Genomic DNA, 16,509 nt, shown 5'->3' with positions numbered 1-16,509 from the left:
AAAAGTGTTTCCATGATGACAGATATGGTGGCAGTGAAAGTAAATACTTCATTATTTATTTATTTGGAGAAATTTGAAAACACAAAGAAGAAACTAATAATCACTTTTGTTCTGTTACCCAGAACTAATAACATTTTGGCCAAGTTTTTGCTTTTAGTTTTTTTTTTTAAACTAAAAAAAACAAACAAACAAAAACCCTCAGAAGTGAAGCACAAATATATTCTCTGTAAAACAAATAATAGCATATTACAGATAAAGCCAAAGTGTTCTTTCACCACCCAAGTCCATCCTTTCTCTAACTCCCAGAGGTCATTATTACTTTTAAAATACTATTTCTTCATTAAACATTTTTTTTGTTTTTATATATTTAGGAGATACAGGTGCAGATTGCTGACATGCATATATTGCATTGTGGTGAAATACCCATCTAGTGAACCCATCACCCAAATAGTGAACATTGGACCCAATAGGCAACTTGTCAGCCCTCACCCCCTTCCCACCCTCCCACCTTTTGTAGTCTGCAATGTATTATTCCACTCTGTATGTCCATGTGTACTCATGGTTTAGCTTCCACTTATAAATGAGAACATGTGGTATTTGGCTTTCTGAGTTTTTTTCACTTGGGATAATGATCTCCAGTTCCATTCATCTTGCTGCAGAAGATAAGATTTCATATATTTATTTATGTGTATATGTACACACATATATACATACATACATACATATATGTATACACACATCACATTTTCTTCAGTCCTGCGTTAATGGACAGCAAGATTGAGTCTGTGACTTTGCTATTGGGAATAGTGCTGTGATAAACATATAAGTACAGGTATCTTTTTGATATAATGATTTTTTTTCCTTTGGGTAGATACCTAGTAGTGGGATTGCTGGATGGAATGGTAGTTCTGAGAAATCGACGTACTGTTTTCCATAAAGATTATACTAATTTACATTCCTACTAATAGTGTATAATTGTTCCTTTTTATCTGCATCCCCCCAGAGGTAATTATTGTATAGTAATATCCTGTTTGACAAAGTATCTGGGAGCTTTAATGTCACATGTATCACTGGGATATGTGCCAGTGTCCATTATATTCAACACCTTAGTTTTTACTTTTAATTTCCCTAAGACTGAATTGCCTTACTGTCACTGGTTGGATTTCTCAAGGAGTAAATACCGAGATTGAGTTTATTGTGCAGATATTTGTTTGGGATTTCTTTTGAGAAATCCCTACCTGTAGAAGGGAAGGGAGGGAGATAGGATTTGTACAGTTGTCCCATCAGCCTCAGTTGATTCCACTGGGAGCTCTGTAGCAGAAATGGCTCTTGAGAAGTGTCCTACATTGGATCAAAATGTCTAGACCTTTATACACCTGCCTCTACTAGTCAGTGGACATGGGCTACCCCTGAAGGACATGGCCTTGGACTGGTAGGCTTTCTTCAGCTGATGCAAACCCTGAAGGTGTGACAGCATCAGCAGCTAGAGCAACAAATCCTGTTATTACAAAAGAGTAAATAATTATGTTCTGTTTAGCAGAAATAACAACTGTAGTCAGTTTACTGTTTCAGAGTTAGAACTTTTAAAAAATTGAATTAAAGTTTATACTTTTTTCAATGAAGCTGGATATGTTGGGGAAGAATTGTGAAAAGGATGAATAACTGGGTTAGCTTTCATTACAGCTGGAAGTGGCAAAATTCAAAATAAAACAGTATAATTTAAAATCAAATATTTTATTCAATTAACAAGTATTTATATATTCTGTTTCTGAGACAAGATGGAATAGACTCACTTCTCCCTGTTCTCCTGTGAAGTATAGCTGAAGATTCTGGACATTTATATATAAAGCAAACATTAGAAGAACCCAAAAGGTAGAGAGAATAAGGTAGACCAGCTAGGGACCTCAGGACCTTACGGTATAAGACCCATTTTGGAGGTCAGTATTATGCTGATAGAAAAACCTGACAAGGACCATACAAAGAAAGTTTAAGATAAATAGTCCTCGAAATACCATTTGACCCAGTCATCCCATTACTGGGTATATACCCAAAGGATTATAAATCATGCTGCTATAAAGACACATGCACACGTATGTTTATTGCGGCACTATTCACAATAGCAAAGACTTGGAACCAACCCAAATGTCCAACAACGATAGACTGGATTAAGAAAATGTGTGACACTCTCCCAAGACTAAACCAGGAAGAAGTTGAATCTCTGAATAGACCAATAACAGGAGCTGAAATTGTGGCAATAATCAATAGTTTACCAACCAAAAAGAGTCCAGGACCAGATGGATTCACAGCCGAATTCTACCAGAGGTACAAGGAGGAACTGGTACCATTCCTTCTGAAACTATTCCAATCAATAGAAAAAGAGGGAATCCTCCCTAACTCATTTTATGAGGCCAGCATCATTCTGATACCAAAGCCGGCCAGAGACACAACCAAAAAAGAGAATTTTAGACCAATATCCTTGATGAACATTGATGCAAAAATCCTCAATAAAATACTGGCAAAACAAATCCAGCAGCACATCAAAAAGCTTATCCACCATGATCAAGTGGGCTTCATCCCTGGGATGCAAGGCTGGTTCAATATACGCAAATCAATAAATGTAATCCAGCATGTAAACAGAGCCAAAGACAAAAACCACATGATTATCTCAATAGATGCAGAAAAAGCCTTTGACAAAATTCAACAACCCTTCATGCTAAAAACTCTCAATAAATTAGGTATTGATGGGACGTATTTCAAAATAATAAGAGCTATCTATGACAAACCCACAGCCAATATCATACTGAATGGACAAAAGCTGGAAGCATTCCCTTTGAAAACTGGCACAAGACAGGGATGCCCTCTCTCACCACTCCTATTCAACATAGTGTTGGAAGTTCTGGCCAGGGCAATTAGGCAGGAGAAGGAAATAAAGGGTATTCAATTAGGAAAAGAGGAAGTCAAATTGTCCCTGTTTGCAGACGACATGATTATATATCTAGAAAACCCCATTGTCTCAGCTCAAAATCTCCTTAAGCTGATAAACAACTTCAGCAAAGTCTCAGGATACAAAATCAATGTACAAAAATCACAAGCATTCTTATACACCAACAACAGACAAACAGAGAGCCAAATCATGAGTGAACTCCCATTCACAATTGCTTCAAAGAGAATAAAATACCTAGGAATCCAACTTACAAGGGATGTGAAGGACCTCTTCAAGGAGAACTACAAACCACTGCTCAAGGAAATAAAAGAGTATACAAACAAATGGAAGAACATTCCATGCTCATGGGTAGGAAGAATCAATATCGTGAAAATGGCCATACTGCCCATGGTAATTTACAGATTCAATGCCATCCCCATAAAGCTACCAATGACTTTCTTCACAGAATTGGAAAAAACTACTTTAAAGTTCATATGGAACCGAAAAAGAGCCCGCATCGCCAAGGCAATCCTAAGCCAAAAGAACAAAGCTGGAGGCATCACACTGCCTGACTTCAAACTATACTACAAGGCTACAGTAACCAAAACAGCATGGTACTGGTACCAAAACAGAGATATAGATCAGTGGAACAGAACAGAGCCCTCAGAAATAATGCCACATATCTACAACTATCTGATCTTTGACAAACCTGAGAAAAACAAGCAATGGGGAAAGGATTCCCTATTTAATAAATGGTGCTGGGAAAACTGGCTAGCCATATGTAGAAAGTTGAAACTGGATCCCTTCCTTACACCTTATACAAAAATCAATTCAAGATGGATTAAAGACTTAAACGTTAGACCTAAAACCATAAAAACCCTAGAAGAAAACCTAGGCATTACCATTCAGGACATAGGCATGGGCAAGGACTTCATGTCCAAAACACCAAAAGCAATGGCAACAAAAGACAAAATTGACAAATGGGATCTAATTAAACTAAAGAGCTTCTGCACAGCAAAAGAAACTACCATCAGAGTGAACAGGCAACCTACAAAATGGGAGAACATTTTTGCAACCTACTCAAAGGGCTAATATCCAGAATCTACAATGAACTCAAACAAATTTACAAGAAAAAAACAACCCCATCAAAAAGTGGGTGAAGGACATGAACAGACACTTCTCAAAAGAAGACATTTATGCAGCCAAAAAACACATGAAAAAATGCTCGTCATCACTGGCCATCAGAGAAACGCAAATCAAAACCACAATGAGATACCATCTCACACCAGTTAGAATGGCAATCATTAAAAAGTCAGGAAACAACAGGTGCTGGAGAGGATGTGGAGAAATAGGAACACTTTTACACTGTTGGTGGGACTGTAAACTAGTTCAACCATTGTGGAAGTCAGTGTGGCGATTCCTCAGGGATCTAGAACTAGAAATACCATTTGACCCAGCCATCCCATTACTGGGTATATACCCAAAGGACTATAAATCATGCTGCTATAAAGACACATGCACACGTATGTTTATTGCGGCATTATTCACAATAGCAAAGACTTGGAACCAACCCAGATGTCCAACAATGATAGACTGGATTAAGAAAATGTGGCACATATACACCATGGAATACTATGCAGCCATAAAAAATGATGAGTTCATGTCCTTTGTAGGGACATAGATGAAATTGGAAATCATCATTCTTAGTAAACTATCGCAAGAACAAAAAACCAAACACCGCATATTCTTACTCATTGGTGGGACTTGAACAGTGAGATCACAGGGACACAGGAAGGGGAATATCACATTCTGGGGACTGTGGTGGGGTGGGGGGAGGGGGGAGGGATAGCATTGGGAGATATACCTAATGCTAGATGACGATTTAGTGGGTGCAGCGCACCAGCATGGCACATGTATACATATGTAACTAACCTGCACAATGTGCACATGTACCCTAAAACTTAAAGTATAATAAAAAAAAAAGAAAAAGAAAAAAAAAGATGAAAAAAAGATATGCCAGTAAAAAAAGAAAAAAAAAATGTGTGACATATACACCATGGAATTACTATGCAGCCATAAAAAGTGAAGAGTTCATGTCCTTTGTAGGGACATGGATGAAACTGGAAACCATCATTCTCAGCAAACTATCGCAAGGACAAAAAACCAAACACCGCATGTTCTCACTCATAGGTGGGAATTGAACAATGAGAACACATGGACACAGGAAGGGGAACATCACACTCCGGGGGACTGTTGTGGGGTGGGGGGAGGGGGGAGGGATAGCATTAGGAGATATACCTAATGCTAAATGACGAGTTAATGGGTGCAGCACACCAACATGGCACATGTATACATGTGTAACAAACCTGCACATTGTGCACATGTACCCTAAAACTTAAAGTATAATAATAATAAAATAAAATAATAAAAAAGATAAGTAGTCCCCATGCATATAGATGCAAATATCCTTAACAAAATATTAGCAAATACAATTTAGCAATATGTTAAAAGAATTATATACCATGCCCAAGTGTGATTTATTGTTGGGATGCAAGACTGATTCCATATTTGAAAGGTACTCTCCTCAAACTATTTGAGAAAACTTTTATCTTTTAGACAGAAATTCTGCATTGAAACTTTTAAGGAAGAATTCACTTTAAAATAGAAATTGTATTTCTATTCTTGAATAAGCAGATCTTTTTAAAAACAAAAACATTTCTAAAAATCCTTCTGACCATGACTTATCCAACTTTGGAAAACAAGACCTACCAGTGATGCTTAATAAATTACAAATGAGCAGCAAAATTCCTTATTTTTTATTTGTGTATTGTTGATGCTTTAAAACAATTTTTTCAGAGGTTTATGTACAACTTATTTACCTTATTCTGTTTCAAGCCATATGTCAAATATATAATTAATGATATACGGGTTACTCAAAGGTGCTAGGAAGCCTCCTCTCTTTTCTATACCTGGGCAGAAAGGTATAATAATATAATGTCCAATAATTTCACAGATTTATCATTTACAAACTTTGCTAGTTTATCACCAATAACTCTACAAGTTCATCATTTACAGACTTTGCTAGTTTATCAACAGCCTCCTAAATTAACAAATGAACTACTGCTCTCAATCTGTTCTGTAAATTTTACTTCTGTCTTCACATTTGTTCAGTGAGTACTGACTTCGCTCATTAACAGATGTCCTTACTCATTTCATGAGGAGATGCGGTATAGTTTACAGAAACACTCACTGTCTTGAGAGTTAAACCTTTTTATAAAACCTTTTAAAAACATTTTATTTATTGAGGCAGAGTCTTGCTCTGTTGTCCAGGCTGGAGTGCAGTGTTAGGATCTTGGCTCACTGCAGCCTCTGCCTCCTGGGCTCAAGGGATCCTCCCACCTTAGCCTGGGAGTAGCTGGGACTACAGGCACATGCCACCACACTCAGCTAATTTTTGTATTTTCTTTAGAGATGGGGTCTCACTATATTGCTCAGGCTAGTCTCAAACTCCTAGGCTCAAGTGATCTGCCTGCCTCAGCCTCCCAAAGTGCTGGGATTACAGGTGTGAGCCACTGCACTGGGCTGAGAGTTAAACCTTTCTAAGGCTCAATTTTCTCATGTATAAACTGAAGATAATAAGGTCTCATAAGTAGGGTAACAGTATATCTTAGTTTATCTGTGACAGTGCTGATTTATGCCTATTGTTTTATTAGTTTTTCTATTGTTGTTATCCTTGTTTGGCTATTTTTATAATTGTTAGTAAAGTACTACACAAAGTAAAAAATGAACAAATGCAAGTTCCCTTTTCTCCCTCAAATACCCCTAAGTCCTTCTGTCTTAAGTAGATCATTAGTAAGGGTTTCTTATTTATCCTCAACAGAAAATTTTATTATAATGAAATCATATTACAAGGCTGATTTTTCATATTGCTTTTTCACTAAAATATGTATTGTTTTTTCACTTCTATGTATTTAATACATTTATAATATCTCATTCTTTGTTAATAGCTTCATTATACTGAATGGCTCTCTGTGTGTGTGTGTGTATATATATATATATATATATATTTTTTTTTTTTTTTTGAGACAGAGTCTCACTCTGTTGCCTAGGCTGGAGTGCAGTGGCTAGATCTTGGCTCACTGCAGCCTCCTCCTTCAGGGTTCAAGTGATTCTCCTGCCTCACCCTCCCAAGTAGCTGGCTGAGTACCTCCCAAGTACCTCCCACCACCACACCCGGCTAATTTTTGTATTTTTAGTAGAGACAGAGTTTTGCCATGTTGGCCAGGCTGGTCTTGAACTCCTAACCTCAGGTGATCCATCTGCCTCAGCCCCCCACAGTGCTGGGATTACAGGCGCGAGCCACTGTGCCCGGCCTGAATGGCTATATTTTTTATTAGGTTGATTTTTTTTTTAAGTTTATGGGAATTTAGATTGTTTCCTTATTTTTACTATTTTGAACCATGTTGTAAAAATCTTTATATATACTGGATAAACTTTTGTGAGTTTATCGGTAGTGTGAATTCTTACAAAGATGAAGTGTCAAACTGTCAATACATTTCATTATTTTACCATTTATCTATCTGCATGTGTTTGGCCAAGAGAAATTTCAAAACAGGAGAGAAACTAGTGCTTCAAAACTAGTCATGCTACCCAAAAAGTATATGCCATGTAAAATTTAAAAAAATTTTACTATGAAATGCTGTTAGAGATATTGGTGTGGGCTACCCTGAGGCACTTCAGCTTGTGTATACTGAAGTTGAAATGATTTCAAGGATAATTTTTACATGAAGGGATTATCATTTTATGCTTGACCTAGAACTTATCCACTCCCTAAATTAAACTCCTTGCTAGTCAAACTCTGGGATTTTAGTTGGGGAGGGGAGACATTAAAACTTTGATAGCTATTGTTCCAATAAAATTATCTTCTATAAAAGTTGGACTATTATCTTTGCACTCATAGTATGTAAACATGTCTGTTTTCTCACACACTTGGCAGTTGCGGATGTTACCAAATTATTTCTATATTTAAAATTACATTTAAAACTTTTTACTGAAAAATAAGTTAAAAATGATACATCTCATGTTTGATTTGGCCATGAAATATATATTAAAATGAAGACTTAAAAGTGAATTGATGCCATGGTAATACTTGGAATTCTTACATTTTGCAATTTAAAATTTCACTGATTTAGATTTTAAAAATGAAAAATGTTGTTCTTTCCCTCAAATATTAGAGAAAGATTCAGTTATTATTTGAAAGAGTTTCTCTGTGATAGTATTCTATGGAAGAGTGAAGTCTTTATTCCTACTAAATGATAAGCCAAAGTAGATATAATCATCAGTGGATTTTGTTTCTTTTTAACTCATGCTTTCCAAGTATCTGTGCAATTTTGATGAGCAGTATAAGCTTGTTAGTCTGATGAGTGCATCTTATCAATACGATGAAGAGAATCCTGTGTCAACTTTCCAGAATTACCATTTATGTATGTAGTCCTTACTAACTTGTGTTTCAAGATAGGCATTCCTGTTCCTGTTTATCCCAATAGTCCATTAAGGATAAAATTTAAATAATATAGACTGAATATTTTTTAAAAAGGAAAACTGTATAACAGTTGAAAACATCACTGTGGCAAGCTGAATGTTTGGATGAACATTTGGTTGAGAAAGTGAGTGAATCCGAGGAAGTGATATGATCTACAGTAGCCCTTCCTACATGTTTGTTATTAATACATTCTTAGATATCAAATATTCTGTTTTTAAAGGGGGGAGATATTGTTTAGTTTTTTTTAAAAAAGGTAATGAAGTAGATGTTACTAAAGCCTTTAAGCATGTTGAATCCACAGAGCACCTTTATGAATATATATATACCCAGGGTATATGTGCATCATGATTTGGTTAATATTGATCTAGAACAGGGCTTCTCAACAGGGACTTCATTGACAACTGGGGCCAGATAATGCTTTGTTGGAGGGGTTGTCGTGTGCATTGTAGAATATTTAGCAGTATCCCTGGCCTCTACCCACTAAATGCCGGTAGAACCCATCCTTTCCCAATTGTGACAAGCAACTGAGAGCAGTGTGATATGTTGAAGCAAAAACGTAGCCTGTGCTTTATATCTAGACTCAGGATTCAAGGCATTGATAGGAATCATTTAATAGCTAGATATTTATGGATAAAATCATATGCTGTCTGGGGTTTGCTTAAAAATATGTATATGCTCCTGTGTGTGTGGTGCTAGGGGATGGTAGTAAGTAGGTGAGGGTCTAAATGAAATAAGATTGACCAAGAAAATAATTGTTGAAGTTGAGTTCATTAGTAGGAGGGGGTTTTTATACTAGTTTCTCTACCCTTGTATACGTTTGAAATTTTGTATCATAAAGAGTTTATATTGTTTATTTTCTTATTTTAATTAATGTTTTTGAAGAGACAGTCTTGCTCTGTGGCCCAGGTTAGAGTGCGATGGTGTGATCATAGCTCACTTCAGCCTCAAACTCCTAGGCTCATGTGATCTTTCTGCCTCAGCCTTCCAAGTAGCTAGGACTACAGAGGTGCATGCCACCAGCCTGGCTGATTTTTTTTTTTTTTTTTTTGCCTGTAGAGACAGGGTCTTGCTATGTCAGGCAGGCTGGTTTCAAACTTCAGGCCTCAAGCGATCCTCTCACCTCACTTCCCAAAGCGTGGGACTGCAGATATGAGCCACTACTCCTGGCCTATTATTTTTATTTTTAAAAAATAATTTTTTTAGTTAAACAGATTAGCATAGATTAGAACTCAAAGTTTAATATGTTCTGTTGACTAAAGTCTTTGGAGCTTTTTTTAGTTTTGAGTTATTAGTCAAATTAAATAACGAATGTTTATTAAATTCTAACTAGAATGTTTATAAAATTTCGGATTGCTATTATAGTGAGATGAAGCCAGGAGAAAGTAGTCTTCTAGGCTCTGACAGTCTTTACAAACTCTCTAAAATGTTAGCAGTAAACCATAACCTCAGGTTGGTTAAATCATAAAACAGGACTTGGTAGTAAGTATGTAAAGTGCTTTCTGTTTTCCCCTTAAAAAGAACCAGAGCGGCCGGGTGTGGTGGCTCACGCCTGTAATCCCAGCTCTTTGGGAGGCCAAGGTGGGCGGATCACGAGGTCAGGAGATCGAGACCATCCTGGCTAACGCAGTGAAACCCCATCTCTACTAAAAATACAAAAAATTAGCTGGGCCTGGTGGCACTCACCTGTAGTCCCAGCTACTCAGGAGGCTAAGGCAGGAGAATTGCTCACACCCGGAGGCAGAGGTTGCAGTGAGCTGAGATCACGCCACTGCACTCCAGCCTGGGCGACAGAGCGAGAAAAAAGAACCAAAGCATAGTGTTGTATAGATTTTAGTAATTTAATTGTTTTGTGGATCATGGCTGTTGAATTTTCCTTGTGGGAAATAATAATCACTTATTATATATAGCATACTGTGTGATAATGTTTTTAGTGTATCTGGAATATGGTGTAGCCATTAAGAAAAAATTAGGTAGATTTCTGTGTACTGATACGGAAGGATGTTCAAATTCATTGTTACTTGAAAAAAAAAAAAAACTTACAGAGCACTATAATCTCATTTGTATAAAGACCAAAAAATATAGGGGAGGTGGGATACCATGTGAATATATAATCTGTGTGTGTGTGTGTATGTGTGTGCACGTGCACATGCATGCTTATATAGACACAGATTTTCTGAGAGGATTTTGACCAAAGAGTTAATAATGGTAACCTCTGCACACAACAATTGGGCAATGAAACTATGGGAACATGACTCAGGGAGACTTTTACTTTCTTAGAGTTATCTTTGAAGTTTCTGTCATAGTGTTATTTTTGTTTCTTTTTAGTTAATGTATTACAAAATTATGATACATAAAATTGATTTTTAGGCTGGGTGTGGTAGCTCATGCCTGTAGTCCTAGCACTTTGAGGGGGCTGGAAGATTGCTTGAGCCCAGTAGTATGAGACCAACCTGAGCAAGATAGTGAGACCTCGTCTCTAGAAAGAGATAAAAAAAATTAGCTGGGCATAGTGGTGTGCACCTGTAGTCCCAGCTACTCGAGAGGCTAAGGTGGGAGGATCACTTGAGCCCAGGAGCCTGGGCTGCAGTGAGCTGTGATTGTACCACTGTACTCCAGCTTGGGCAATAGAGTGAGATCCTGTCTCAAAAAAAAAGGTTAAACAATTATTTTTTTATTTTTGTTCATATATTTCTAAGGTTCTTCGGGATATACTTTTATAGTAGTGGAAGTGTATTCTCAGAATAAACTACAACTTTAAAAAATCAATTTGAAAAAACAATCCATTAGAGAAAATGGACAAGGGAAGTGAACAATTAAAAGACAAAGTTCAGGTGTCCAGTAAGTGTATATAAAGCTATTTATCTGCACCTGTAATTAGGAATATGTTAATTAAAGGAATAATGATATTATTTCACACCCGTCATGTTGGCAACCACTTAAAAGTCTAATAATGTCACATATAGTTGAGGATGTGGGGAAAAGCAGAGCTTTCATATTCTGGGTGGAGATAGTAATTGGTATAGCACTCAGGAAAGACAATTGGCTAAATGGTGGAGTTGAAATTTTCATTTAGCATTTCTACTTCTAAGTGTATACAGTGGAGAAACTCTTGCACATTTGTACAAATATGTTTATTCCAACATTGTATAATAATAATACAAAACTGGAAATAACCTGTGTTTCCACGGTTGGGGGTTGCATAAATAAATTATAGTGCATTCAAACAATGGTACGCCATAGCAGTTAAAAGAAGAACAGTCATTCTTGAGAAAAAAAAAAAATCAAATTGCAAAAGGATAAAATTATACCATTCACATAGATTTTTTTTGTTTTTGTTTTCTTTCTTTCTTTCGTTTTTTTTTTGTTTGTTTGTTTTTTAAGGCAAGGTCTCACTCTGTCACCCAGGTTGGAGTGCAGTGGTGCGATCTTGGCCCACTGCAACCTGTGCCTCCTGGGTTCAAGCAATTCTCCCGTCTTAGCCTCCTGAGTGGCTGGGATTACAGGTGTATGCCACCACACCCTGTTAATTTTTGTATTTTTGTTAGAGACAGGTTTTCACCATGTTGCCCAGGCTGGTCTTGAACTCCTGTGCTCAAGCAATCTGCCCACCTCGGCATCACAGAGTACTGGGATTATAGGCGTGAGCCACTGCGCCCGGCCCATGAAAATTTTCAAAACACAAATCTGTTGTTTGTAGACATATACATGTGTGATCAAGTCATATAATTGGACTATCCACTGACTTCAGATTATTACAGCAGGGGAGAAAGGGAAGAGAATGGGTTCACAGTTTGGAGTAGGAAGGATACAATTTACATCTTATTTCTTTAAAAAGATCAGAAGTAAATATGGCAAAATGTAGACATTTATATTATCTGGATGGTGGGTTGGTCCATGGTTCTTAAATTATTCTGTGCATTTTTCTCATTGTTTTGAACTATAAAAGTATTATTTAATATAAAATATATTTTTAAAAGGTACTATTCCAGTAGCCCAGTTTCTGAGGGTGGTTTGAAACTTGTGTTATTGAAATGTCTTATAATATCAGGTGTATTCCTTTTCCAGAACAGAAATAATATAATAAACATAGTAATTCTTTGTATATTTCCTAGTTTTACATAAAGTATGCTCTAAAAATTTTCTTTTTGTGTTTCAGACAGCATGTTTTCGTGAAGAAAGGGATGTATTAGTGAATGGAGACAATAAATGGATTACAACCTTGCACTATGCTTTCCAGGATGACAATAACTTAGTAAGAATCATTTTTGTATTTCTATATACTGTTTTTTTGTTGGAAGAATTAGCATTATTTTTATTTAAGCATTGTTTAAATGTAGGTTTCATATAGAAAATTAAGTGCATTTCATACAGGGTAAGTTGTTCACTTGATATGTGGTGTTTTTTTTTCTCCCTGGAAATTTGATACCTTTTCATTGGAATTCTTTATGCTTTTTAATAAGCAAGTCAAAACTAAATCCAAACATTTAATTTCCATTGGTTAAGTTCTATAGACGGTCTTCAGGAGTTTTTCATGATACCTTTAACACCAGTACCATTCCTCTTCCCTTGTTCCTGTTGAAGTCCAGCTAGTACTTTAAAATTGTGCTCAAATTCATCTTAAAATAATCATTTCCAGAATTTTCCACTGAAATTAATCTTTCTCATCTCATTCTAACTTTACATTTTTAAATTATTTTTATTACATAACTAACACATGTATCTCTGATTTTTTTTGATACAACTTTAAGAAACATTTAAATAGGCCGGATGCGGTGGCTCACGCCTGTAATCCCAGCACTTTGGGAGGCCAAGGCGGGAGGATCATGAGGTTAGGAGATTGAGACCATCCTAGCTAACACGGTGAAACCCCGTCTCTACTAAAAATACAAAAAAATTAGCCGGGCGTGGTGGTGGGCACCTGTAGTCCCAGCTACTCGGGAGGCTGAGGCAGGAGAATAGCCTGAACCTGGGAGGCAGAGCTTGCAGTGATAATGCCACTGCACTCCAGCCTGGGTGACAGAGCAAGACTCGGTCTCAAAAAAAAAAAAACACATTTAAATATGTTACATGGACTGTACCATCTTTACCTAAAATAAAATTAAAGGTTTTTCCAACCCCACTGGAAACAAGGAAAAAAAATAAAGGTTTATGCAACTCTATAATGCTCATGGGGTTTATCTGATTTCAGGCCAGATCTAGGTGTTCAAACAGTGTCATTACTAGTCTTTTATATCCCTTACATGCTTATAGAGTATAATAATGTTTTTTTAAACTACAGATTGTGACCCATTAGTGGGTAATAAAATCAAGTTAGTTACAAGCAACATTTTTTTTCTTTCTTTCTTTCTTTCTTTTCTTTTTTTTTTTTTTGTTTGCTGGATCTTGCTCTGTTGCCCAATTAGAGCTAACTGCTGTATCTGATTCCTGGGCTCAAGCAGCCCTCCCACCTCAGCCTCTTGAGTAACTGGGACTACAGGTGTGTGCCACTGTGCCCCACTAACTTAATTTTTTTGTTGTTGTTGTTAAGATGGGGTCTCAGTTTGTTGCTCAGGCTCGTCTTGAACTCTTGGCTTCAAGTGATCCTCTCAGCTTGACCCCCTAAGGTGTGTGGATTACAGGCATGAGCCACCATGCCCAGCCATAAGGAACATTTTTAAAGATTAAATAGAATAGAAAATGACAGAGTTCATGACAAGTAAGTAGTAAGAGTGAATATGGTCTCATGACACATTTCTTTTATAATATACTGAATTATCATATAAGCCATATATATTATTGTGGGTTATAGTGAGAATTGTGTAAAAACCATAGCATAGAGTTTTTTGTATGTGCTAGATGCATAGTTGTTAAATTGAATAGAATGATGTTTTAACTGGATTTATTATACTTAATATACAAAATTTTAGGGATGAATGTATCATGCAAAGATAATCTGCATGGGTTTGTTAATAACATTTGTAAGAACAAATTAAAACACATCCCACATCTTTGCCTAGAAAAATTATAGCAATGTATCATGATAATTTTCAAAATGTTTTCAAATAATGAATAAAATCCACTATGACAGTGTATTCTGTAATAGATAAATTTAACACTGCAGATTTGTGCATTGCTTAAAAGTCTACATTTTGGTATAAATATAGAAATAATTATATAATTTTGTAGGTATATTAATAGAAATAAAGTACCCAAATACCAAATTTTATATAGCAAAAAAAGCCTGAACTGTGATTTATCTCTCTCCTCTTGTTTAGTTTTATTTGCATTCTTCGTATTTGACATTAGGATTAACATTTCTTTTTCAAAGACATTTTTCAGGGAAAAATAGTCTGTATATACCCCTCAATAATTACTAAAATAGAATTAAAGACGTAACTGGAGGAGGAATGAAACACTCTAGTAGTCAAATCTCCTGTAACTTGCCAGTGTTTCTTTAGGGGAGCCTTCATCATATATTCATTCATCTCAAGAGTCAGAGGTCTTGGTTATCATCAAAGGTTGCCTTTTGAACATTTATACAATATTAGCAAAAATCATTAAAAAATGTCGACAAAGCTAATTTTAGATACCAAAAAAGGAAATTTTATTATATATAATTGTTTTTCAAAGTAACTTTTAACCCTGATAGCTTTTAAATTGCCAAGTAAAGAACATAATTTATAATGCTATATGGTTCTAGAAAGCTGTGGCAAATAACTTTCATTTCTAACCTACTTACTACAATAGTTTATGAAAAAATTTGCAATTATAGCAAGTAGACTTTTTGTGTGTTTCAGAAAAAGGCACATAATTTAATGAATGGTAGATATTATTATGTGATTAGATCTTTTTTTCTTTAAGAAAAGCTCATTAAATACAAAGCTGCTTAGTTATATCAACATTGACACATAAAATTTTTATCACTTACATAACACTAGAATATAATGAACCAGTGAAATTTGTTCGTTCTGTACTTTCTTATTAATTGTTTCCTGATTAGTTACTTTATGGTTGAGGAAAAAAAGGAAAATATCTTGCACTGACATATGTAACTTGTTTAAAAGGTGAAAGATACTTGAATTTTAAATTAATTGTAGTAACTCATATGAACTCTAAATTCTTTATAGGAATCCAATTTGTGAAGACAGAAATTATTAGAAAAGTAATTTTTTTAAGAAAAGTATTGTTTAGGGCCGGGCACGGTGGCTCATGCCTGTAATCCCAGCACTTTGGGAGGCCAAGGCGGGCGGATCATGAGGTCAGGAGATCGAGACCATCCTGGCTAACACGGTGAAACCCGGTCTCTACTAAAAATACAAAAAATTAGCCGGGTGTGGTGGTGGGCGCCTGTAGTCCCAGGTACTGGGGAGGCTGAGGCAGGAGGATGGCCTGAACCCTGGAGGCGGAGCTTGCAGTGAGCTGAGGTCACGCCACTGCACTCCAGCCTGGGCAACAGAGGGAGACTCTGTCTCAAAAAAAAAAAAAAAAAAAGTATTGTTTAATAGTAAAAAGAAAGCAAGGAGGATTAACTATAAGGTGAGGCTCTAAAGATTGACTGTTAATCTCTTTGTTATGGCAGCATGAGAATTAAAAGAGTTTCCTGATATTCCTACGAAGACTTCTAGAATTATATCTGTTCCTTGAAATGCTCATTTTGGGACACATAACTCATTTATTGCATGTTTTCAGATGTTTTAGCATTGTTTCATTGGACTGGAGCTCTTTTAAAAAAAAAATCCCCAAAGCTGCCATGGTCTTTTTAGTAATTTAACCAGTGATTCCTCAAATCAATGATTGTTGCTTTGGCTTTCATTTCCCTAGTGACTATTGAGGTTCAGCATGTATTAATTGGCTGATTGTGTTCCCTCTTATGTGAATTATCTGTTAATATTCTTAGCCTAGTTTTGTTGGATTGTTTGTCCCTCTCTTAACAATTGGAAGGGGCTCTTTATTTTAGGATTATATCCTTGACCTATTATGAATATTACCTCTCAGTCTATGTTTTTTAAAAACTTGTATAAATATACCTTAGCTACATTGGGTAATATTTTAAAAGTAGTTTGTG

General features: G+C 36.1%; 1 protein-coding gene across 25 annotated transcripts in view; it reads left to right on the top strand.

Annotated features, from left to right (window-relative positions):
- The window catches only part of CDC42BPA (CDC42 binding protein kinase alpha), a 328,635-nt gene that overhangs the window by 106,219 nt on the left and 205,907 nt on the right, over window positions 1-16,509 (top strand). For all 25 annotated transcript variants that reach the window (NM_001366011.1, XM_017002580.3, NM_014826.5 and 22 more), the window contains one exon: window positions 12,622-12,717. In NM_001366011.1, coding sequence (NP_001352940.1) covers window positions 12,622-12,717 — 96 coding nt within the window. The remainder of the gene's footprint in view (window positions 1-12,621; window positions 12,718-16,509) is intronic.

Source organism: Homo sapiens, chromosome 1 (assembly GCF_000001405.40).
Source record: "Homo sapiens chromosome 1, GRCh38.p14 Primary Assembly".
In the NCBI taxonomy this organism is placed as follows: domain Eukaryota; kingdom Metazoa; phylum Chordata; class Mammalia; order Primates; family Hominidae; genus Homo; species Homo sapiens.
This window is presented reverse-complemented; position numbering and strand designations above follow the sequence as displayed.